The 26,874-nt window shown below is 38.6% G+C and overlaps 1 protein-coding gene across 6 annotated transcripts in view, besides 1 other annotated feature; it reads left to right on the top strand.

Moving 5' to 3' along the window:
* The window catches only part of CTNND2 (catenin delta 2), a 932,611-nt gene that overhangs the window by 185,360 nt on the left and 720,377 nt on the right, over positions 1 to 26,874 (top strand). The gene's annotated exons all lie outside the window — the stretch shown is intronic.
* Positions 18,280 to 18,781: an enhancer, noted in NCBI's record as "NANOG hESC enhancer chr5:11700418-11700919 (GRCh37/hg19 assembly coordinates)". NCBI's record gives its function as "activates a minimal SCP1, AML or CMV promoter by ChIP-STARR-seq in primed H9 embryonic stem cells {active_cell/tissue: H9 hESC(primed)}" and the evidence as "EXISTENCE:reporter gene assay evidence [ECO:0000049][PMID:30033119]".

Genomic DNA, 26,874 nt, shown 5'->3' with positions numbered 1-26,874 from the left:
GACAGTTAGCTCTCAGTGTTGTAATGGAATGTATGCATATAATAACACACATTTTACAAACACATATTAGTTTATTAGGATGCCCATGGAAATCTGTGCTCCTCAGTTGATATCAGCTTGATGAATTACTCTTTGCCATCTCTCTTAGACAATTAAGCAGTAAAGACTATGCAGTCTCAAGCTGGGGATTAAATCAGGAAATCCAATGGTGAATCTGGAGTTTCTTTAGTCACTAAGGAAATATGGAGAGAGGAGAGGATATTTGGTAGAGAAAAAATAATAATAAATGAGCTTTCAGAATTTAACTTATTGACAGATTATTACATGAGATGGTCTATAAATCCGCTGGAGAGAGAGTGCAGGAGGCGTTTCAAAGCTCCTTGATAACACTTCAACATGTTACATTTCAGTGTTCTGGGAGAAGATGTAGATTTTTTCTCTCTTACTTTTCTTATTTTTTTTTTTGTAAAAAAAGAAAATGTGTTAGAACTCTTGATAATCAGGTCATTTTTGTTGCTGTGACTTAAAACCCTCTGGATCACAAGTGTGTTTGCAAGTCCCAGCACCTGCCAATGTCTGATATCAAGAGGCTTTGGGGAAATCAAGGAGAACAAGTTGTGTTGCTCATCTCAGTCAGCACATAGAATAGTTATTGTCCGTGAATGGAGAAGGAGATATTTCCTACAGAAGCGGGAGCTCAGAGCCACAGATGACCAGTAGAACATGAAGTTCTGGGGTTTCCAGAAATCTTGGGTCAATTGAAATTCTCACAAAAGGTGGGATAGGAGACTCTAGATAGTCCTCATTAAATCTTAAGAACATTAGCCACTATTTGAATTATGCTGTGCAAAGTGTCCTTGTGCCCCTTTGAGACATCTTCCTTCTTTTGGATTCAATGGAAAGGGCCTGTCGTAGTGCCTGGAATATGGAAGCTGCTCTTTGCATAGTAGCTACAAATACGAATATTGAAATTATTTTATTAATTGATCATGAGTAACAATAGTAATAAATTTCACACTTAACCACTGAGATTGAATTGAATGTGCGAAATTCATTTCAAGAGTCCTGATGTTTTATTGCCATTGGACTATTTTATGGAAGTCAATAAAGCTATTTTATTTAAATTGTTGGAATATATTTAAGAAGGTGTTGATAGCATTAATGGTGAGTGATATGGTTTGGCTGTGTCCCCACCCAAATCTCACCTTGAATTGTAATAATCCCCAGATGTCAAGAGTGGGGCCAGGTGGAGATAACTGAATCATGGGGGCAGTTTCCCCCATACTGTTCCCATGGTAGTAAATAAGTCTCATGAGATCTGATGGCTTTAAAAATGGGAATTCCCCTGCACAATCTCTCTTTCGCCTGCCCCCATGTAAGACGTGACTTTCCTTCTCCTTTGCCTTCTGCCATGATTGTGAGGCCTCCTTAGCCATGCTGAATTGTGAGTCCATTAAACCTCTTTCCTTTATAAATTACCCAGTCTTAGGCACATCTTTTTTTTTTTTTTTTCACAGTCTCTTGCTCTGTCTCCCAGGCTGGAGTGCAGTGGCGTGATCTCAGCTCACTGCAACCTCTGCCCCCAGGGTTCTAGCAATTCTCCCACCTCAGCCTCCCAAGTAGCTGGGATTACAGGTGCCTGCCACCATGCCCGGCTAATTTTTTTTGTATTTGCAGTAGAAATGGGGCTTCACCATGTTGGCCAGGCTGGTCTCCAAGTCTTGACTTCAGGTGATCCACCTGCCTCAGCCTCCCAAAGTGCTGGGATTACAGGTGTAAGCCACTGTGCCCTGCCAGGTACGTCTTTATTAGCAGCGTGAGAACAAACTAATACAGTGAGTAAGGTGAAACTCATTTTCTGTCTTTTCAAAAAATCACTATTTCATAACAAAATTTCTAGTATCAAGACTAGTACTTTTGGCCGGGCATGGTGGCTCATGCTGGTAATCCCAGCACTTTGGGAGGCTGAGGTGGGTGGATCACCTGAGGTCAGGAGTTTGAGACCAGCCTGGCCAACATGGCGAAACCCCGTCTTTACTAAAAATACAACAATTAGCTGGGCATTGTGGTGCACACCTGCAGTCTCAGCTACTCGGGAGGCTGAGGCAGGAGAATCCCTTGAACCCGGGAGGCGGAGGTTGCAGTGAGCTGAGACTGTGCCACTACACTCCAGCCTGGTGGCAAAGTGAGACTCCATCTCAAAATACAAAAATACAAACAAAAAACACAAAACTTAGCTGGGCATGATGATGGACACCTGTAATCCCAGCTACTTGGGAGGCTGAGGTAGGAGCATTGCTTGAACATAGGTGGAGGAGGTTGTGGTAAGCTGAGATTGCGCCACTGCACTCCAGCCTCGGTGACAGAGCAAGACTCCGTCTCATAAATAAATAAATAAATAAATAAATAAACAAATAAGTAAATAAAAAGACTAGTACTTTCCAATTTCTTAACTGATGGGATTCAATTTTAGGTTAAATGAATGAATGATTAAATAAATAACAACTGTTAGAAATTGTATAGAGAGAAAATAAGTAAATGAAATTTAATATATTTAGGTAGATGCAAGGGTTGCAAGGCTGTGATGTGAATATTTCAATTGCAATAATACCTCACATTTAATTTTAAAAGAGTTTAACCAAAGTAAATAATCTCTCTTATTCATGGTAATGCTATCTGGGCACATGCTTGAATTTGACCTTTTTGATAACATACACATAAATAAATGAATGAGAAGTTACATTTATCCTTTGTTAACATCCCTCAATTATTTTATTATTTAAACTATTTAATTAAGTGTATAACTAAATTGCTACTCTTCTTGTTGTTGGGTTTACATTTTTCAAGAAACATTATGACTTGATAATGATGTAGTATCACATCAGACCTGGTATAAAGGAATCCGGAAGTTACTATGGGAAACCCCTTATGAGTGGCTGTCAAGCCCTAATTGCTCACTCTGTGAATAGTCCAGATACCCCATGCTCATGTTGGTCGTAGAGGATTGGTGGCCCCAGAATGGTTACTTGAACAGATGCGGACACATCAGTGCATTTTTTCTGAGTCCTTTCATGCCAGCATTATTATGTATTGAACGAAGTCTGCTTGTCTACGATAGAGAGTTTGGATAATTGGAGGCCTTGTTTTCTGCCCTGTAAAGAAAGCTAGAATGCTTGATTGTTCAACTCTTTGGATTCAGTGAGAGATCCCAGTATTCTTCCAATAAATTATTTTTTGTTGTTTGATTTTGTTTTTTGTCATTTTCATTTTTTTGGTTTGCTTAAACTAGCTCACATTGACCTTCTGTCGCAACCAAATGCATTCTAACTAAATCATGTATTTGGCACTTGGATGGGTAATCTCTTTATAGGCAGGCCCATAACATTTCCATTTCTATCTTAAGACATTTATAAGATGCCTTTAAGAAGCTATGCATGAATTGAAGCATTCCAGAATATTGACTCCTGGCAAGGCCTCCTAGAACTGAATTCCCAGAAAAGAGTAGGAAGGGTAAATCTACTTGTCACATGTATCTGTTATTTGGACAACTTTCTGGAGATGGTTAAAGGATCTTTTCCTTTCTTAAAAAGGCTTGACTAACAGGAGGTTTTGGAGTTAACAGTTAAGTCAACTGCTGGAGAATACATTGAAAAATTCATCAGAATGTGCCCACCTGGATTCACTCAGAAGGAATGGTTACAAACTGCCTTGTTTTTTGTTTGTGTGTTTTCCTTTGTTTTTTTTCCCCAACAGATTACCATACAAATAAAGCAGCGACAACCTGAAGATGTAATGCTTCGTGATTTCAATAAAGCATTTGGCAGTCTCTTGTGATACTCTTGTGTAAAAATGAGTGAATGAGGAGTTCATGCTTGATAGTATCATTCACATCTGCTCTGGCTATGGAACTAAACTTGTCCAGAGAGTATTGGATATTAAATTGGGGCATTTATTTTCCCCAATCACTCTGCCTGGTAACTCAGGGCCATGAAGAAAAATTCACTCTAAGACAGAAACCCTATCTCTCAAAATCTTAAGGTATTTTATTTTTACATAAGTATTATTGTTTCCCTTAATGATAATCATAAACATAATAGCTAATAATAATGTATCGCAATACACGTACATTTTCATTCTTTACCTTCCTGATTTCTTTCTTTCTTTTTTTTTTTTTGAGACGGAATATTGCTCTCTCACCTAGGCTGGAGTGCAGTGGTGGGATCTCGGCTCACTGCAAGCTCTGTTCGCCTCCCGGGTTCATGCCATTCTCCTGCTTCAGCCTCCCGAGTAGCTGGGACTACAGGCACCTGCCACCATGCCCGGCTAATTTTTTTTTGTATTTTTAGTAGAGACGGGGTTTCACTGTGTTAGCCAGGATAGTCTCGATCTCCTGACCTCTTGATCCGCCCGCCTCGGCCTCCCAAAGTGCTGGGATTACAGGTGTGAACCACTGCGCCAGGCCCCCTGAATTATTACAATTTACATATGAGGAAGATTGTATCATCCTCAAGTTAAAATGAAGATGAGGCTAAGAGAGATCTTACAACCTATTCTGGGTCACAGACTATTAAATGTGAGAATGGCATTCAAACCTAAATTTTCCTACCTTTTAAGTGAGCTTGCTTCTCTGCTAATCTGTAAATGCATATAAATGAAGTAAAAGATCAAGGCAACCAGTGTAATGCTCTGTAACTTTACCAGAGTAAGGTATTGAGAGAGGAAGAGAGAAATTCATGCAGTAATCTTAAGAAAAATATGGAGCTGGTCATAAAAAAAAATTGTCATTATCCCTAGGAAAATAAAAACATTTAAAGAGGTGTTGAGGCATTTGTTTTTCTGTCTGGAAGGCCGACTCCAGTCAGTTTCTGATAGGGTTTCCCTTTTTTCATTTTCTACCAATGTTAGCTCCACAGGAGCACTCCTTCCATCAAATTCATTCACTATGTTTCAGATACAATCACGAGAAATATCTTTCACTTTCTCTTTAAAAATAAATTAAGCCATCACTCACAGCAAACATATACTCCCCGTGTAACAAAGTTAAATATAGAATGTAATTTACAGTTAAACTAATATTGAACTTGTTGTCGAGGCTACGGTCTTGTTAGGGACCTGCCATACTTGAATGGAGTCCTCAGAGTCCCGCCCCCCTGCTGTCCCCAGTGTCCTATGCCACACTTCCAGGTGAACGGTAGGTCCAGAAGCCTTGATCACTAAAGATGGCAAGTTTAGATTGTGTTAATGAATGTTTCAAACCATTTATTTTAGTCTTCAAATCCATGACATATTTCATTGCAATTTGTACCCTAAGAAATTTGCAGAATTAAGGCTCTGTGTTACATTTTATTTGTCTGTATTGAAATGAAATGGAGCTGGTATTTAGATATTCTAATGATATCCAGGTTGTTGCAGAAGTCTTATCCTCATGATGAAAATACTAGGAGAAAAACTGTCCTTTATATATATGTATATATATGGTATTTTTTTTTTTTTTTTTTTTTTTGAGATGGAGTCTCACTCTGTCACCCAGACTGGACTGTAGTGGCGTGGAGCAATCTTGGCTCACTGCAGCCTCTGCCTCCTGGGCTCAAGCGATTCTCCAGCCTCAACCTCCTGAGTAGCTGGGATTATAGGTGCATGCCACCATGCCCAGCTAATTGTTGTATTTTTAGTAGAGATGGGGTTTCACCATGTTGATCAGGCTGGTCTCAAACTCCTGACCTCATGATCCTCCTGCCTCAGCCTCCCAAAGTACTGGGATTACAGGCCTGAGCCACTGCACCTGGCTTACATATTGTATTTCTAATATAGGTAGGTGCTAATTGTCTCCACAAAGAATAGTTTTTAATTTCAGCCCTTCTAATAATAGTAATATTAACAACAAAAACAAATGTTATTTGTGAAATCACCCATTCACATTGATTTCTGTCATCCTAAAATAAGAAATAAATTGCTGACTGTATTTAGTATTTCTGTCTGGTCATAGTCAATATAATTTTTCATAAGGAGAGGAATATCCTATGTTCTCATTTCTTTCTCCTTCTCCCCATTTTGCAGCACTGTGTACATACCATTTTTGCAGGAATGTGGCTCGAACTTTATTTATCTTTAGCCTGACCCCTAGGATACTATGAATGACTATATTATCAAAAAATACCTCTGCTTTTGTGTGCTGCTGTTCAGTATCATATCCCCATTTTCACTATGGCATATACTTAATCAAAAAATAATCTCGTAAAAACTTATCTTCTCCAACTAGTATATTTGATTCTATTTTAAACTCATTTTAAGCTATTAAGTTTGCTAACTGTGGGAAGTTACTAAACTCTGATTTCTAGGATGAACGACTCTTTTGTTTTATTTTACCCTCTTCTTTTAATGTCCAAAAACAATCCTTGTGACCACGAATTTAGAAAAATATTATTTAAATTATACCTATTGAATTAGCATCATTGGAAAAATGAGTTTCAAATAAGAAACTTTAGAGTTTGAACTTTACAAGTACTTTAATATTTCTATTTAAATTGTCTTTATAAAATTATTTTTATTTTAACACTGCTGTATGCCCTTTATTGAATAAAGAACAGAACAGTACAAACATTTCAGCATTTTCTTGATGTCTCAGTGTTGTTAGTAGGAATACTACATTTCATCCATAATTACAGATGCAAGGACTGTGAAACTTCAGAGAGAGGTCTGTATCCTAAGAAAGTTGCTGAGAGGTACTTTGTTGAAAATATTTCTGAAAACTCTTTAAAAATCAGCTACCACTTTGCCATTAAAAAAAAATGCAATGAAAGCATTTATCTGTGTTAGCTCAGAGACCCTGAAACTTTTGGAAGTAGTCATTGTGGAATAAAAGGTTAAAGCCTTTTTCTCCCTGTTGAGTTAATAAAAGAAGTAGTTTGTATGTGTCTAGTTCTTTACAGTTTACCGACTGCTTCTGCAAACATTGTTTGACTTGACCTTATGCTACATGATGGAGCTGGCTGGGGACATTTAGTTCTCACTCCACAGGCAAAGAAATAGGGAAAGCAAAGATCTTAAGTCTTTTATCCAACATTACACAAATTATAAACTCCCAATCCAAGACTAGAAGTCAGTGTTTGAACTCCTACTAATAATAATGTTAACTAATTATCAATGAGGACTTACTGTGATCCAGGCACCATGCCTCACACACATTATCTTATAATCTGCCCACCTACCAGAATCATATACAATTCCCATGCCCATCTGAAAGATGAGGAAACTGAGGCTTAATGAGATAAGTTAGCATACTTAAGGCCGTGTGGCTAGTATGTGGCAAAGTGTGAAAGATCAAGATGTGAATGTTATCCATAGACAAAACTATACTTCATTTTAACAGTAACTAGGAGTGTTGTAAATATATTTTGTTACATTATTTAACCTCTCTGTGCGTCAGTTTTATCTGTTAAAGTTAATAATAGTATTTATCTCGCAGAATTGTAAGAATTTCAAAGTTAATATAGCTAAAGAGCTTAAAACAGTTCATAACATGTAGTAATAACAAAATAACCATTAGCTATTACTTTTATGTGCCATTAACATAAGAATATCTGCTTGATTTTTTTATATAAAAGACAATAGTGAAACCTGAATGTACATTTCTATATGTAAGTGGCGTGCAATGAGCATGCCCTACATGTTAAAATTAGGACTATGCCGATTAAATATATATAAAAAAATGCTATCAAATTAGGCCAGTCGGCCCGGCGTGGTGGCTCATGCCTGTAATTCTAGCACTTTGGGAGGCCAAGGCGGGTGCATCACCTGAGGTCAGGAGTTCCAAGACCAGCCCGGCCGACATGGTGAAACCCCGTCTCTGCTAAAAATACAAAAATTAGCCTGGCGTGGTGGCACATGCCTGTAATCCCAGCTACTCCAGAGACTTAAGCAGGAGAATCACTTGAACCCAGGAGGCAGAGGTTGCAGTGAGCCAAGATCATGCTAGCCTGGGCGACAGAGTGAGACTTCCTCTCAAAAAGAAAAAAAAAAAATTAAGCCAATCATTGGTAAGAAGAATGGGAATCTCAGTGATTTCTCTTTGATAATTAGAGTCAATAAGAACACACTGGAAGGAAATTAAATGTATTATCTGTACAAATGATGTGGAGTGACAAGGGGTTAAAACTTGTTTTTCTTATGTTTAAACTGAATAGGCAAAGGATCAGATTGCATGGTATTTTGTTTTGCTATGACAAAAAATAAAAGAGAAACGTAGCAAAAGCTTTGATGCACATAGCAAACTCAACCCTAACCTCCCTTCCATTGAAAATGCCACTGTAGTGGTGCACTGCCCGGACCTTCAGCTGTAACTGCTGTGAAGGCAGCAGGCTGAGGCATTTAGGGAAAAAATAGACTTGTAGAGTTAAAGTTCATGTTTGTTTTTCATCAGTTCCTGTTTCCTAGATCTGCCTTCAAGGATTTCTGCTAATAGGCCAACGAAGGAGAAAGTGTAGACATTCTTCAAGCTGTTTTTGCTGTGAGATCAGTTTTCTTTCTGTCTTTTTTTTTTTTTTTTTTGAGATGGAGTCTCGCCTTTGGCCCAGGCTGGAGTGCAGTTGGTGTGATCTCAGCTCACTGCAACCTCCACCTCCTGGTTTCAAGCAACTCTCCTGCCTCAGCCTCCCAAGTAGCTGGGACTACAGGCGCACGCCACCATGCCCAGCTAATTTTTGTAATTTTAGTAGAGACAGATTTCACCATGTTGGCCAGGATGATCTCGATCCCTTGACCTCGTGATCCACCCACCTCAGCCTCCCAAAGTGCTGGGATTATAGATGTGAGCCACGGCACCCAGCCGGACCGAAGGGTTCCTTAAACCATCACCTGATTTAGGAGATGGAGACAAAGGGAAGCAGGTCAAAATCCAGATAAATGGTTCTTGGCTCCTTAAAGCTGAGGAAGGAACAATCATCTTTCCTTTGCCTGCCCTTCTCTTGGGATGCATAGTCATCTCTAACAGGTATTAGAGTTATCTGTGGTCACCTCTCCCTCACTACATTGAAATGTCTCTGTGGGTTTAAGTTAATCTCTTATAATAAAAATATTTTTATATTCCATATATCACAGAATACATGCCATTCATGGATCTTAAGTGGAACACCAAAGGCATTTTTCTAAATAACTCTTACATTATTAATGTACAAATATGCTTTTTTGTAATATCTTAATTTTATTAAATGAGCATGATTTCTGTTTTTAAAATGTACTTAAAGGACAATTTCACTATACGATAATTTAGCTAAGAAAACATTAGTTTAATATTAAAGAAATGTTTTGTACAAAATCTCTCCATAGTAAAAGGAGTCCAACCTTATACTTACTGACAGCATCATTTGCACTTGTTTTAAGGCTTCTCAATACTTTGTCTACCGTTTCTTAAATGATGGAAGCAATTCTCTCTGCACTGCTCTTATTGCTTTCTGTAGAATTGTTAACTTTTTATGTTGTTTTTGCAGGTCACGCTGTATTCTTAGCAAGCAGAAAAAAATAACTAACTGTTTGGGATTATTGTACACAATTTTATAATACAGTTTAGTTCATCATCTTCTTTTATCTGACATTTTGACAAGTGCTTTAACAGATCCAAGAAGAGATGCTTTTACATGATTAAATTATTTGAGCAAACACACCCATGTCACAGTATAGTTGAGAGTTTTTCTAGAGTCAGTGGTCATTGAATAAGAGATCATTCACACTGCTGTGTAGCTGGGCCTGGAGTTAACTCTAGCTGGTAATGTTCCTAAAGAATAGCAGCTATGAAAGACTTTCATCTTGTAAATCTTGGCCAGATACTGCCCATTAGCCGAGTGAAACTGCCTTCTCCTTTTCTGGCTTCTGCTGTAGAAGTGGGAAAGCTGATTTTATCTTCCCAGCCTCTTCAGTAGCCGGGTGTGTCACAGGCATAGCTCTGACACATAAACGCAGAAACCTACTGTGTTTTTTGAAACAGTTCTTGCTCTCTTGGGAACAGTCGATGCACTGCCATTCTTCAATCTTACAGGATACCTAGTTTTCACTTTGTTATCATAGTAGCTTCCCTGGTAAGAAAGTTCATAAACCAATAACTACTGATGCATGTGACAATTTGTGCGAATCTCAAAGGCACTATGTTAGGTGAAAGGAGACAGACACAAGGGGCTATGTATGATTCTACTTATATGATATTCACAAAGACATAACTATAGACAGATCCCATCAGTGGATGCCTGTGGGTCACGGGAGGGGGCTGACAACAAAGGGAAGGAGGGTACTCTTCAGGGTGATGAAACATTCTGTATCTTGATTTTGTGGTGCTTACCCTGCCTTAAATGTGGCCTGTTGCCTGGAACTGCAACAGAGCTCATGGCCCTGAGTTGACAAACAACACTCCCAGGATGGGGAAGCATCCAGAATGATGGAGCCTGTGTCTTCATCGTACTTGAGCCACACTGCAGAAGGCCCGCCCTAGATAATCCCAGACTCGCCAAGCAAGAAAAATAAACTTGTATATTTTAGACATTGTTATTCAGGTTGTGCAAATGGATACATCCTAGCAGATTAGTATCCTGTAAATAAAAGACTTATTACTAGTGTTATTATAATTCGTAGAACTACTCAGATCTCTCCAATATCTAGAGAGAACCATGATTAAACCCTTAAAGAAAGGTTTCATCTTTTCTTACTTACAGCTTTTCACTTTAGGAGATTTCTTGGCCCCCTTTGGTAATGTTTAATTGCTTTTTTCCTTAGCAAACTGACGCACATTATATATTATAGTAAAAATTAAATACAATTTATTACTCTGCAATGGGTTTTGTTACATTTTACCACTGATAAATCTATTTAAGTTTAAAAAATCATCTTTATAGCCAGGTGTGGTGGCATGCACCTGTAGTCCCAGCTACTTGGGAGGCTGAAGTGGGAGGGTTGCTTGAGCCTGGGATGGGGAGGTTGTAGTGAGCCAAGAACACACCACTGAACTCCAACCTGAGTGACAGAGTGAGACCCTATCTCAAAAAAAAAAAAATCATCTTTAAAACATACTTTTAATCATCAATATATTTCTTCTGAATATATGTGAGTTACCACTTAGCATCATAGCTAATATCCTACAATTAGCAAAATGCAGAAATTTAGGAGTGGAAAGTTCTTAGAAATATTTAACTTTGTCTCTTTAAAGATGTAGAAATGGAGGCTCCAAGAGATTAATTAGAGTCATACAGTGAGAGCTGTCTGCAGTGATGATGTTTGAAGACCCTGAGGCTTTTTTGTAGTTTTTCTTCTTTTATTTTTAAACAGACTTTGTAATCGCAAATTGTTGTGTGTCTAAAATATTGGCTTACAAAAGTGATTTTCATAAGAGAGAGAGTAGGAAGAAAAATTACAATTTTTACTTATATTTTGGTTTACTCTAAAAAATAGTTGAAAATTTAGCATTTAATATGTACTGTGGCATTTGTGTGTCCTGTGTTCCTGGTTTTGGGGATTTTGGACTGTCACTCATCACCTATTGTAGTTTTTTCCTGTGGTATCTTCCTGAACTACAGAGGCTGGAAAGGTACAAATATATTTCCCAGACTCCTTTTCATTTAGGGTCCTGAATTTGTTTGAGGTCTTACCACTTGGATTACTTGCATGAGAAAAAGAAGGCAGAAGTGAGATGCAGGTCATTGTTCGGCCTCTGCATGGAGACAACGGGTATATTCTGTAGAAAAATCATTAGGTCTGTGTGCATGAGAGGAGGATGGGACTGGCAGACCGGCTCTGTTTCTGCAGTCACACCTTGTCAAAAGTCATGGCTGTGGGACACCTAGTTCTCACTTTCTTATTTTAGTAGCTTCCCTGGTAAGAAAGTTCATCAACAAAAAAAACTAATTACTGATACATATAACAATTTGTGCAAATCTCAGAAGTGCTGTGTTTCTGCAGTCACACGTTGTCAAAAGTCATAGTTGTGGGACACCTAATTTTCACTTTCTTTTTTTTTTTTTTTGAGATGGAGTATTGCTCTGTCTCCCAGGCTGGAGTGCAGTGGCGTGATCTCGGCTCACTGCAAGCTCCGCCTCCTGGGTTCACACCATTCTCCTGCCTCAGCCTCCCGAGTAGCTGGGACTACAGGCGCCCGCCACAACGCCAGGCTAATTTTTTATATTTTTTAGTAGAGATGGGGTTTCACCGCGTTAGCCAGGATGGTCTCGATCTCCTGACCTCGTGATCCGCCCGCCTCAGCCTCCCAAAGTGCTGGGATTACAGGCCTGAGCCACCGCGCTGGCCTTACTTCCTTATTTTAGTAGCTTCCCTGGTAGGAAAGTTCATCATCAAAAAAAACTAATTATGATGCATACAACAATTTGTGCAAATCTCAGAAATGCTATGTTAAGTGAAAGGAGACTGACACAAGAGGCTATGTGTGATTCTACTGATGTGATATTCACAAAAAGACATAACTGTAGACAATCCTATCAGTGGATGCCTGCGGGCCAGGGCAGGTGGCTGACAACTAAGGGAAAGAGAGTACTCTTTAGTGTGATGACGCACTCTGTATCTTGATTTGGTGGTGCTTATCTGCCTTTATATATTTGCCAAAACATGTTAAACTTTATACCTAAGAAGGATAAATTTTACTGACTATAAGATTTCCCCCAATAAACTTGACTTTCAAAAAATATTTGGAAAGCACTGGTGTTGAGAAGGCCTCATCCCTATCCCTTGCTCGGCCCATATTTTACCACCTTGATTCAGTGATCACACCAATGGAAATGGTTTCAGAGTTTTGCTTTTGTTTTGTCTTTGGCCTAAAAAAGCACACTTTTATGAGTTCAGTTTCTGCGAGTCAGATGTCCAGGCACAGACTAGCTGGGCCCCCTCCTCAGAACCTCACACAGCTGCAATCAAGGGTTGGCTGGGTTGGGTTTTGTTGAAGGCTTTGCTGGAAAAGAATCTGCTTCCAAGTTCACTCAGACTGTTGGCAGAATTTGTTCAGACCTCCAGGTCTGAGGGCCTGGGATACTGTCTGGCTCAAGGCTGGAAGCTACTTTCAGTTCTTAGAGGCTACCTGTGGTCCTTAAAGGTTACTCATAATTCCTTGCCATGTGGAATTTCCCAGTACAGCTGCTGCTTCCTCTAGCTAGCCAGGGGAGTCTCTAGAGTGAGTCTATTCCCAAGATAAAGTCTCACGTAATGCATGTGTATATAATGGAGTGTAATCATAGGTATGACATCCCATCACTGTGCTATATTCTTTTGATTAGGAGCAAGTCATGGGTCCTATCCACACTCAAGATGTGGAGGACTGCATAAAAGTGTGGACACTCTAAAGTGGTTCACCATAGAGTCAAGGGAAAGATAAAAGGGATAGAAGAAAAAGGATCAAGGTTCAAGTCTGACAGCATTATACCACTTCCCTGAAGGGATGTTCACTCTCTTCAGAGGCTAAGCTCAACTCAGCTGTTTTTTCAAAATTATATTTTTAAAATGTTCCTATATGAATAAAGCAAAGAGTAGAAGCGTCACATTAACCCCTCTCTCACTACTCAGATATATACTATTTACATTTTCAGATGTCTCATCCCAGGTATTATTTTATTTATATGCCCACATATACATATATTTTCATATAAGGGATCTGGCTATATATACTGTTTTGCAGTTTATTGAATTACTTCTGTCATCTGCCTTTTGCTTTTTCCACTTATATTACATTAGCTTTTTCTCTTTCTAATAATTATTCTCAAGTGTGGCCCATGATTTGCTCAGGAATGGAGTTGGGTGGGGGAAGAATTCTGGCTGGCGTAGTGCTCAGACACATTCTGTTTCTCCATACACAATGTGTAGCATCCTTTGGGTTGGAGACACATCTTTGGGCAGAGAAGCTGATCATCCTGGCAGAAGGTCAGTGTGGTATTTGTCCTGTTCAGGCATTTGGTTGGCTATTTGGAGATGATTTATGCCTGCACCATTGACAGATGTCAGCTCTTCAAAAGCTTGTGGCTATTTTTTCTTTCCCTTCTGGATTTATCTTCAGACAGTTTCCCTAATTTAATTGTCAGAAAATGAATCATTTTGAGCTGAGATGCTCAAGAGTCTCTCATTTAATTCTAGCAAAATCTGCCTTCTGCTTGAGCTCTGGAGAGAAACACACTGACTTTGTGTGTCCTTAGTTTAGTTTCACTAGGTTAGCATTTGTATTGTAGATATTTTCCATTTTTATTACGTGTGATTATGTTGTTTTCCTCCATTGCAGTGGGTTTCAGGGAAGGGAGCCAAGTAAATATGCTTTATGTAGGCAGCTTTTTCCTTTTTCCTAACTGTGAGCCACAACTAAACTGTGACAGCTATATCATAGTTGGGCTGGACATAGGGCCTCCAGAGGAACAAGCTGAAGACAAATTCATTTAGAGGTGGGCTTAAGTACATTTCTCTTATTGTGGGTTAAAGGTTAGGATGCATCCATTCGAGGAGCCCTCCAGGACCAACACAGTCCGTTCCAAACCTAAGTGGCCTCAACTAATGTTTGCTAGAACATCCTCTGGAAACTGGAACTTGAGCTGTATTCCTGATGCTAAGTACTTGGGTTCAGGATCCCTCTCTGTGACTGAGGTGCTTTCAACACTCTGCCAGGTAGCAACTGAGAGGCACTCATTCATATTTTCATCAGGCCTCTGTTAAAGTGAACCATCTGCTACTCTCTGTCATCTGTTTCTTGACCGAAGTGAAAAATGGTATGTGTTACTTCAGCTCTCATTAGGTAGGCATCTGTATTCTGAGAAGTCTTCTTAATTAGTCTTCCTGTAGTGAATGTCAGCCAAGGCCATGCATTGGATTGTTCTGAAGTCTGAGCTGTCTTCACACCTTTGCAGGTAGTCCTCCGAGGTCAGGCCGGAACAAGATTGATGGGATGAGCACTATTGAGGCTTCTTAGATAATTAATTTCAAATAAGCTTGACTACATCTAGTCTTCTAGTCATTGATGTTAAAACAGCATGTTCACATTTTTGATGAAAAATCATTTCCTTTCTTTTTCCCTGTCCTCTGAATGAGAGATGAAAAAAATTGTAGGATGCTTTGAGATGAGGATTCCAGTACACGTATTGTTAAGACACTCTATATGCTTGTTTAAGATTATTTGAGAATCCCTCAGAAAAAGATAATTCTTTTAATTTTCTTCCTCCAGGATAATATTCCTTTGCACCTTCTTAACTATTTTAGTTACTAAGTGATTCTGATCAGAGATACGGGGGTCTGATCAAATTATATTTTGTATCTTTATTCCAAAATCGAATTATTTGGCAGATATACAAGATATCCAGATAAGTAATTCAAATTCACCCTTTTTAAAAATCCATTCTATGAGACCCAAAAGACTGAAAGTCATCTGTTTGTTTACTAAATACAGTAATACTGTGAAATTGTCTACTCCCTGAGGGCAGAGACAATATTTTATTCCACTCTAAATCTTGCAATAACTAAAGAAGTACCTGGAACATAGCATTTGCTGAATAAATGTTAGAAAGAAAGTTAAGATCTTTTGCATATTATACTTGCTGTTGGCAGAAGGTGTAACTCTGCAGCAGCAATGGAGATTTGCCTGTGTAGCCCTACTCTCTGTGTTCCATTCTGACTGCAAAACCCAGGTAAAGGCAAGGCAAGACCCTCTTGCTTCCAGTAAACAACATAATTCAGGTACCATGCATGTATCCTGACTGTAAGAACACTGTTTTCCTGCTGGAATAATCCACCAAATAGATCAAACCTCTATGGTGGTTGCTATCTCCTGATAGCATATATAAACATATATCTGTAAACTGGATGTATGTTTCATTGGGACAATATAAGTTTTTAAAAATTAATTGCCAACTATATATTTTTAATTTCTTTTGAAAATTTGAAAAATTGAAACATGATTCTTCTTGGAATGAATTGACTTCAGTTGGGTAGCTCTTAGCCTATTTGGATGGAGCCTGCAGACTCTACCCAACTCTTAACCCCAGCCAGCCCACTGCATTCATGTGTGATCCTGTAGGAATCTGCCTTGTGATCCCTGAATGCGTCATCCTAGAATTTTTCTGTGTTGGTATTCTCCCATTGCCATGTTTTGGGAGTAACACTGAAGCATCTGAGTGTTGCGGATGTTGGTTAAGAGTTGACATGATCAGGTACTAAGCCTGTCCTCCAAATTAAGTAGAGAGCTTGGCTCTTTGACCCAGTTTGGGGTCCAGGATGTCAGGGTTGGTTTGCACCTGCAGAGATTAGAGCAAGGAGAAATGGAGGAAAGCATTGCAGTCAAAGTGGAGCTCAGTCTCTGCATAGAGAGCTAAAGCATGCTAACAACCTCTGTGTTTTTGAAGAGTACCCAGGGGAAGCCCTCAAGATATGAAGGGATTAGCAGATAGCCAGAAAAGATTATCCTGAGATTTCCACCCTAGGATCCGGTGTAGCAATCCTTGTGCTGGAGAGTGGCTTGGAGTCAGTGACTTGTAATTGTCTTTGCAATTCTGGGTAGAAGAAGAAAGATAAGAGGGACAGTAGTAATTCTGGATAGAAGCACTAATTGTTGTGGAAAAAGAGAAGCAGAGCTGATCAAGGGGAATAACTAATATGAACATGGGGCATCTTTTTGGCAGGAAATACAATAAAACAAGAACTGTCTGAGCACCTCCTTCATGTATTCCATGTAACTATAGGGCAATAGATTGGGAAAACTAACATGTACATGTGGACTTGAAACTGAATTAAACAGTGTTCATCACAACAGAAAAATAAACTGGGAGCTAAAATCAGATACTGGGACCTTGACAGCTGTATCAGCTGTGCCTTGCTACAAGTATGCTATGTAACAAACAACCACAAACCCTTGTGGTACACAAGAAGCATTTTTTTGCTCACAGGACTGGGGTGGTCAGCTCCATTCTGCTGATTTTGCCTGTATGTCTCTAGGTTTCAACTAGATGTGATCTGGAGCAACTGGACCCCCTGGTTCTGTGCACTGTGTTTCTTCCTGCAGTAGACCTGGCATTTTCTCAGAGCGATGGTTGAGGCATGAGGAAGAGGACAAACCCAACTGCCCGAGTGCTTTCCAAGCCTTTGCTTGTGTCCTGCTTCCCATGATGAGTTATGTGGCTGAGTTTATAGACACAGTGGGAAGGCACTGCAGAATTCGTTCTCTTTAAACTTCCGTTGACTCGAGCTGCTGAGATTTTTAGTTTGTTTTTACTGCAGCATAACTCAGCCTATCTTCAGTGATAAAAATCCTTAACTATTTTCTCAGCATGATTTTTGTGTCCTAGCTAATATAAAAATTATACAAATAAATACTTCATATATTTTATAAGACTTGTAACAGAAATGCTGCACTTATACTACAGGAGCTTATATTAAGGAGTATTCCATACTTCTTTCTCATTCTTTCTTATACTTATGTATGTATAAGTATGTTCTTTTGGGGTTTTAATACATAGACTAGGTTATAGTAAATGAAGTGGGTAAAATTGTGTCCTCATACATATTCATCATATATAATGTAGAAAACTCATTAATAATTCTGTATTTCATAATTCTAGCAATTTAACTCAAAATAGAATAAATACGAATATTGAATGTATAGAAATTCTTTGAGTGGTCTGAATCATTACTTGGTCAAAGATGTCTATTGATTAAATTTGATATTGTTATTAGGTTGTCAATTAAGTTCACTTTGGATTTACTTATACTTCATGCACGTTTGTCCTGGGTATCCAGCAGACTGGTTGAAAGGCAGCCATTATCTGTGACATCCGATGGAATTCTCTGCATGGAAGGTCCCTTGCTGATGGGGTAGTGCTAGGGTTTTCCTATGGGGAGTTCCTCATGGGGACTTAGGTCTTATTGAAGTAGAAATACATACTCAGAAAGCCTGCTATGTCCTCAAGTAAAGAGGAGAAATCTCCACCTGTGGCCCATGATTTTGTTAAAAGCCTCCTTTCAGAATATTGACAATTTCTTTAGACGTCATAAAAGACATTTATGTACAGAATGGGTCTCAGGTAATCCCAGAATATTTAACCAAAGTGAGCATCTGTTTAATAAAATAACTGCCCTTTGATTATGTCTGATGCTACTCATGAAATAAAGATAATCATTTTATAGTTACCCCGAATTAGCACGGGTTCTGTCTTCACCAACTTCCTAAGTATTCTTTCAACATGACAGATTTATATTATAGCCCAAATCCTCAAATTTCAAGTAGATCACATGCTTTTCAAAGGCTTTTCTCTCTCTTTAGTTCAGTTGTTCAATCAGATTCTTATTTCAAGGTCTTATCTCTTCTTTTCCTCAGCTACCTGGCACTGTTACTTTTTTTCAGAAATTTCTTGAGATCTGAGAGTGTTCCATCTAAAATAATCTTCTATTCAACTAGTGCTCTATTGACCGTAGGCTTCAGTGAGTGAATAGGTACAGACAAAAGGATGGCAGCCCAAGAGGATGACAGAGAATGCAACCACACAGCGCCGATGAAAAGAGCTCACAAATGTGCATCACCCCGAGGCACATTCTCACCATGGCTTACTCCCCCAGCACGCTGAATACAACCAAGTAGGGCTTTGATTCTTTAAGTCATTGATCCCACAGCAAATTGTAAGCTCCTCAGGGTCGGAACACTCACCTTCAATAATTAAATCTTTGTGTTTGTTGTTGTTTGTTTGTTTGTTTGGAGATGGAGTCTCACTCTGTTGCCCAGGCTGGAGCACAGTTGCATGATCTTGGCTCACTGCACCCTCTGCCTCCTGGGTTCATGCAATTCTCCTGCCTCAGCCTCCTCTGTAGCTGAAACTACAGTGTGCCCCCAAGCCCAGCTAATTTTTCTTGTATTTTTAGTAGAGCTGGGGGTTTCACGATGTTGGCCAGGCTGGTCTCTTAACTCCTGACCTTAAATGATCTGCCCTCTTGGGTCTCCCAAAGCACTGGGATTACAGATGTGAGCCACTGTGCCTGGCCAAGTGATTAAATCTTTCAATCAAAAAATAATTTTCAATACATATTGATATGTTAAACACAACTACCTACCCACAGTGCCCCCCACACACATATTTTAAAACCCAAAATATAGATGATTTCAACTAAGCCTAATGTTCAGTCAAATGGAGCTTCTACCAAGTATCCGACTCCCTCTACTACAAAAGAATGAAGCTGAACCAAAGAGGGAAACCCCACCTGGGGATTTGATTGAATTTACACCCTGGCACGTTGTACTTATTTCATGCTTACCTTTATAATTTCTAACTTCATTACAGAACAGTTCTTCCAGGACAGGTACAAGTTAGAAAGCTCTAGAAAATATTTTTACTTTGAAAGGAAGCCCGTGGATGATATGCTTTTTTATGTGGCAAGAATTTAAAGAGATGGCAATAAGAAGAAGGAAGGAGAGTTGGGCTACAGTATTTTTGGAGGCTTCTCTTTATGTTCTTGTCCTTTAAATATTCCTTTCATCTCGGCCCTTTTCTCTGCAATTCATGATATCCCCGAGGAATATTATTCCTCCCTTGTTTTCACTTAAATGTTGAAAATTTGAGAAGGTCTGGCCCACCTCTCTCTTCAGTCATTTAGACTTTTTATTCAATTTCTCATGCCCCATAAGCAAATTGAACTCCACATACCCATAAATAATCTTATTTCCCTCTCACCCACAATCCTTCCCTCTTTTTGTCATCCTCATCGTATCCTCAGGTGACTTAGTCATCCTCCCAGGTCCTAAGAAATAGGCCATTCCTACCTCCATTGCATTCATGCTTCTGTGATTCCACACTCTCCACTTTGTCTCCCCGTGGACTCTTGGCCTCTATCCTGAGTTGACCCAACCTATCTAACAACCAGGCAATGATTCTGAAATGTAAACCTGACCATTTGTCCCAGTGCTTACGATTCTGATTGAGTGTGGCAAACCTGTTCTACAGCTACTCATTCGATAGAATTGACATATGTAGTGACACTTTTTTTAAAGTAACTCTTTTTAAAAGTATAAGTAGATTAAATCTAACTATGTGTGTGTGGGGGAACATATGATATATATATATGTATATATATATGATATATAGTTAATACATAAATTGTAATATTTTAATGTTTTAATAATAGCACAAAATAATATGCATTAAGAAAAGAAAATATGCTTATTGATATTAATTATCCTTCAATTATTATAATATATATTTACAATTTAGAATAAATGATCAAATTTGTTTATAAATTATTTAAAGCTTTATTTTTCCAAAAATAAATCACCTGTTTAATGGATTGAACTGGACAATTCTTACTTTAAACTCTGTTGTGGTACTAGCTCCATTGCTTTCATAACATTTCAAATGAAATTAAGTATATTTTAGTTAGATAAGAGAGAAAAAATTCTTTATATGAAAATTTAGTCCCTGATTTATTTCCAGCACTTCATGGAGAGAAAGGTGTAAGCTGGAGACAAAAAAGGAAGTGTGTAATTTACATTAGAATAATGTGTTCTTTGGGCGGGACACAGTGGCTCATACCTGTAATCCCAGCATTTTGGGAGGCTGAGGCAGGGGGATCACGAGGTCAGGATATCGAGACCATCCTGGCCAACATGGTGAAACCCTGTCTCTACTAAAAATACAAAAATTAGCTGGACGTGGTGGCGCATGCCTTTAATCCCAGCTATTCGGGAGGCTGAGGCAGGAGAATCCTTTGAACCCAGGAGGCGGAGGTTTCAGGGGGCCGAGATCGCGCCACTGCATTCCAGCCTGGGCGACAGAGCGAGACTCCGTCTCAAAAAAAAAAAAAAAAAATAATAATGTGTTGCTTTAATACAAGAAATACAATTATTTATCTTCAGCATCAGATAGATTTCATGGAGGGCTTGGTTGGGGAGTATTGTTTGGGAGCTTTTGAACTGTTTCTGAAATGGGCTACATCAGTTTCTTTCCCTGCAGCATTTACTCTGGTCTAAGCCACCTTTGTTCTTGATCTTCAATGGACCCCACCTAGTATCACTTTTACCCCATTATGCAATCTCTGCACAGCAACCAGACTGATTTTTAAAATTAAATCTGACTGTAACTCTCCTACTTTCTGCCAGCTTAGAATAAAAGCAAGGTCCTATCTGTGGCTTCCCAGGTTCTAGGCATGTCAACCTCTTTTCTCTTACAGGAACAGAGAAATCTCCTCCCAGACATAGGGTGTTAGATGTGCTGTTTGCCTTTTTTCATAATTGATGCCTTCCCGTCCTTTAGGCTGCAGTTTAAATTATCCCTGCTAAGAAAGTCCTTCCTTGACTGCCCGCCTAAGTGACTGTCACTTTGTACCCCAAATTCATTCACCAAACTTTGAAGAACAGAGACTAAGAGCATAGACTAAGAGTTTGAACTGCTGGGGTTAAAACCCAAGCCACAGCTTTAAAGTTGTCATATGTCAAGAGATACCTTAATCTTTCTGTCCCTCAGTTTCCTCATCTGAAAAGTGGGCATAATATCACCTCATAAGGCGGGGTTCTTGAATAGATTGATGTATGCCATGCCCTTGGGACAGTCCTGGCTCATGGAAATCCCTATTTTAGTGATTGATACAGTATACTGTTACTGACTTATAAAATACAAAGGAATATTTAATGCATTTTAATGCTTATTTTTTATTCCCACTTATGCCATAACAATGAATATCAAGACAGGGACCATATCTGCCTTTATTCCACTACTGTGTCTGTATCTATGCCTGGCACATAAAAGAAACTCAGTAAGTGTTTTATGGAAGAACTGTGAATTGAGATCCAACTTTTATATACTGTTAAGGTCCAAATTTTTGGGGGGCAATGGAATGGCAGCTTCCAATGGTTAGAATCAGGGGCAGCTTGCACACTTTCCAACAACCTCTGTATAACAGTTGAAAGTGAGAGCAATTCTGACACCAAAATCTACCATGCCTGCAGACATTTACATATTTATTCTGGCACTATTTTTAATCACTTACATACATAATGATATTTGTCCGGTTCCTTAAACAGTCTTCAAAAACAGTTCACATTACCTATAATGGCTGAATTATTTAAACATTTGACCTTTTATTTATGGACATTTTGAAACTTTTTCTGAATATCTATCATTTAAAATAGCATGGATAGTGTGATATTGCCCAGGTGTTTAAGGCAAGGGTCAGCAGCTCTTTCTATAAAGGGCAAAAATGTATCTTTAAGTGAGCACAAAAGATTTCATCCAGCTATCTGTGAAATCAGATAAAGCCCATTTAGGCAGGGCTGATTTTCAGCTATTATGCAGCATGTCAGTTGCTAATTACTGGTTGTTCATACCTGTTGATATATGACTACTGTCTGGGTTTCAGAGTGTCCCTGACCTCCCTTAGGATCTGCAGGTGCTCAACCTGAAAACCACTAAAGAGGGGTAAATGCTGGCTCTAAGTATCATGAATTTGAACAATGAGCGCTCATTTCTTACATCTACATTATGCTAACAAGCCATTAATGTCACCCATGGAAACTCATTCTAATGCAAATTATTAAAAATATCTGCTGTTGATCAGATATAAAATTAGTCTAAACAGTTTAGGGTAGCCCTCCTCTGGAGAAAGGGGCTTCTAAATGGAAGGGAGTTGGCCAGTCTTGGAGCAAGAGATTCTCATTAGGGCAGTTGACTGAATCTGCAGTGGGGCTTGAACTAGTGGTCTGCAAACTATAGCCCAAGGCTGATTCCAAGCTGCTGCCTGTTTTTCTATGGCCTATGAGCTAAGAATGATTTTTCACATATTTTAAATAGTTGGAAACAATTCAAAAGAAGAATATTTCATGACATGTGAAAATTAGGTGAAATTCAACCAGCGCCTACTAATAAAGTTTTATTGGAACACAGCACACTCATGCCTTTATACGTTGTTTATCACTGCTTTGGCACTAACATGGCAGTGCTGAACAGTTGGAGAAGAGATGAGATTACTCACAAATCCAAATATATGTACTATCTGGCCCCTTGCAGAAAGAGTGTGCTGACAGTTAAATAATTGCATGGCAATATCACACTATCCATGCTAACTATTTTAAAGTAGATTATAGATATTTGTAAAAAGTATACAAATATTTATAATAAAAGTGGCAAATGTTTAAATAATTCATCCATTACAGGCAGTGTGAACTACTGTTTTTGAAGACTGTCTAAGGAACTGGACAATACTCATTATATAGTTAAGTGATTAAAAACAGTGTAAGACTTTATATATAATATCACAATTTTAATATGTAATATATGTGTATGTAATATTACATCTGTTTATAGTGTGATAAAAATGGGACAAATTAAGGGATTATGGATTTTGTTTTTATTTATTGCCTAACTATTCTAAATAAGCCTGCTTCAGTACTAAAATGATAAGACAGCATGAGAACATCAAACTCACGCAAAGCTAAGTAAAAGGAACTCTGCATAGTGTTCTTCATTAGTGAAATAAATGTGAATGTGACATTGTTACGGAATAAAAATATTCCATTTTTTCTCAAGAAATAGAAAAGCATTATTTTAATACACAAATAGGAAAACATCTCTGAATACCTTGTTATTTACCCATTCCATTATAACCGAGGAAAAGAGAAGTGGTAGGGCACTCCGTTTATACTTCTTAATGATTCTGTAGAGAATAATTCAACTCTTGAGCTTCAGTGGAATGAGAAGTAGTAAACCAATACACAAGCCACACAGCTCTCAAGACACAAAGATTTTCCCCTCATTGCTTGCCACTGAACAATAGATCAGAGAGATTATGATAGGGTATTAATTTCCTCTCAGGCCAGTTGCTAGATACTTGTCTTGAACAATAAGCAATGTGACAAGATATGACAAAAATCAGCATTTTTAATAACATACTATACAAACCAGTTTCCTCCTTTGTGTGATCCCTCTTCTTCCAGCCTGTCTCTTCCTGGTCTGACCTTTTTATTATTATAGGCTCCTCTAGACCCTGATGGAAGCTAGTGGTTTTCTATCTACTTTCTATTTACTTAACCTCATCTAGCATATTTCCATTTCTTCTAACTGTTCGATAACCCTAACAACATTCATTGAAAGACATGTTTGTATGTAACATTTTTAAAAAATGACCTGCTATATGCAATATTCTTTTGGATGACTACTGTACCATATACATTTAAGATGACAACACATTGGGGTTCCAAGTCCTGTTGTGTATTTAGTCTCCATTGGAATGAAAATCCTCAAAGCATATGTTCATTTTTTTTCTTTTCAGCACGTACTGATTGGGTGTTTGCTGCTTGAAAAGAAATATTTATGACAGTGTTGAACAGAGACAGAAGGAGAGAGGAGAGATATGCAGAAATAGAAGGTGTAATCCTTACATGAGTACCATGGATTCCCTGTTGGATATACAATCCATCCTCAGTATTTGAGAATTTCATGTTTGTGAGCTTGTGTATGTTAAAATGCATTTATAACCCCCAAATTAACAAACAGGGTATTCACAGTCATGTGCCGTGCATGGACACACATGTACCTAACTGAGGCCTCAGAAGATAATACTCTGCGTTCTCATTTCAGCTCTCCTTCTGCAAACAAATGCCCTTTTCATAGTCTAGTTGGTGCCACATTTCAGTTTGGTTTTGTTTTTTTCATTTTCTTTTTTTCTTTTTTTTTTTTGAGAGACTCTGTCACCCAGGCTGGAGGTGCAGTGCTGCAATCTCGGCTCACTGCAAGCTCCGCCTCCCGGGTTCACGCCATTCTCCTGCCTCAGCCTCCTGAGTAGCTGGGACTACAGGCGCCCACCACCACACCCAGCTAATTTTTTGTATTTTTAGTAGAGACGGGGTTTCACCGTGTTAGCCAGGATGGTCTTGATCTCCTGACCTCGTGATCCACCCACCTCGGCCTCCCAAAGTGCTGGGATTACAGGCATGAGCCACCGCGCCTGGCCCATTTTCATGTTTTTTCCTAGTGATTTCATTGTTTAAAATAGCCCTCAATGGTAATGCTGATTTGTTATCTAATGTTTATAAGTGCAAGAAAGCTGCAGTGTGCCCTACGGAGAAAATATATGTGTTCAATAAGCTTTGTTTCTGCATGAGTTACAGAGCTGTTGGCCATGAATTAAATATTCATGAATCAACAATATATAAAAATAAGATAGCTTCAAAGAGAAACATCCATAAAACAAGATTATGCATTAATTAGTTGATGAAAACATTGTGACCAAAGGCTTGCAGGAACTTAACCCTTTATTTCTCCTAGGAGCGATAGCTCAGTATTCTCTAATTCAGTGTTATCATTGACTTTATAGAACAAAACTATCACACATAACAAGAATCAATCGTACTGTGTTTAGGCTGCTACTTAAGCTTAGGGGAAATTATTAAATAATTATTGATAATACTAGTTCTCTCATTCTCCAAATATTTATGGAGCATTTCTGTATGACAGGCATACACCAGTGATCAAAAGACACAAACAGCCCTGTCCTCATTGAGATTCCATTGCATTGAAGATTTGTTAATTCCTAAGTGCCTGTTCCAGGCATTTTATGTGTGCCATGTAATCCTTTCAACAATGCTTTGAAACAGGTATTTCTAGCTCCTTCTTAAAGAAAACAAAACAAAACAAAATAAAAACAAAAACAAAAAACTGTGATTCAAATAATTTAAATAACTTCCCTAAAATGAAATGCAGTATCTTCCAAAACTGGGTTTCAAACCCAAGTTGACTTGAATCTAAAGTCTGCGTATCTGTCCATTTGGTTTGCTATAACAAACTAACATAAGCTAGGTGGCTTATGAATAACAGAAATTTATTTATCAGAGTTCTGGGGGCTGGGAAATCTTTGATCAAGGTACTGGCATATTCAGGGTCTGGAGAGGCTCCACTTTCTGATTCGTAGATGGTGTCTTTTTCCCGCGTCCTCATCTGGTGGAAAGAGTGAGCATGCTCCCTTTCACCTTACGAGGAATTTTTAAATTACTCCAAAGTTTGACATTGGAGTAACTTTTAAAATGTTCTTGGTTTTTGGACTCTGAATTTATATGTATAATATATGAAAATTGACAACCCAGATGTGTTTTAGGACTAAACTTTGAAGAAATACAGAAATTCTTACTGGAGTTTTGGGGAGATAAGAAGAGATTTTTGTCACATACCTCAGTGAGACTTTCTAAGTCTTTTAAAAATGTTGACCCAGCTGGGTGCAGTGGCCCATGCCCGTAATCCCAGCACTTTAGGAGGCCGAGGCCGGCAGATCACTTGAGATCAGGAGTACAAGACCAGTCTGGCCAACATGGCGAAACCCCGTCTCTACTAAAAATATAAAAATTAGCCAGGCATGGCGGCAGCCACCTGAAATTGCAGCTACTCAGGAAGCTGAGGCAGGAGAATCACTTGAACCCAGAAGATGGAGATTGCAGTGAACTGAGATCGTGCCACTGCACTCCAGCCTGGGCAACAGAGCGATACTCCATCTCAAATAAAATAAAATAAAATGTTGACCTAGTTTTCCAAATTCCACCTAATGGCGTTTATCTTCTCATCACACACCCAGCTGCCTCTTGAGCTATTCCACATCCTCAGACTCTCCTCAGACGTGGTATCCTCTTGCCAAGCTTTGTTTTGCTGCCTAACAAATAAAACAAATTCTAAGAAATGTAATATCAAGAAAGCCAAACACAGACAGCAGCCTGTCTCACTGTGCATCTGGCCACTTGTGTTTTCACAAGCTATAGTTTACCAATGTTTTTCCAGTTTGATTTTTATGTTTTTATAATGAGTTGGGAATCATATTCTTTTACTTTTTAAAATTTTTTTTTGTTTGAAATTTCTGAAAGAAGGTAAGATAAAAGGGAAAAAATAAAAACCCCTAATAGTTATGTGC

The sequence above is a fragment of the Homo sapiens genome, chromosome 5 (genome assembly GCF_000001405.40).
Source record: "Homo sapiens chromosome 5, GRCh38.p14 Primary Assembly".
Classification (NCBI taxonomy): Eukaryota; Metazoa; Chordata; class Mammalia; order Primates; family Hominidae; genus Homo; species Homo sapiens.
The sequence above is the reverse complement of the archived record's forward strand: the minus strand, read 5'-3'. Positions and strand labels throughout refer to the sequence as shown.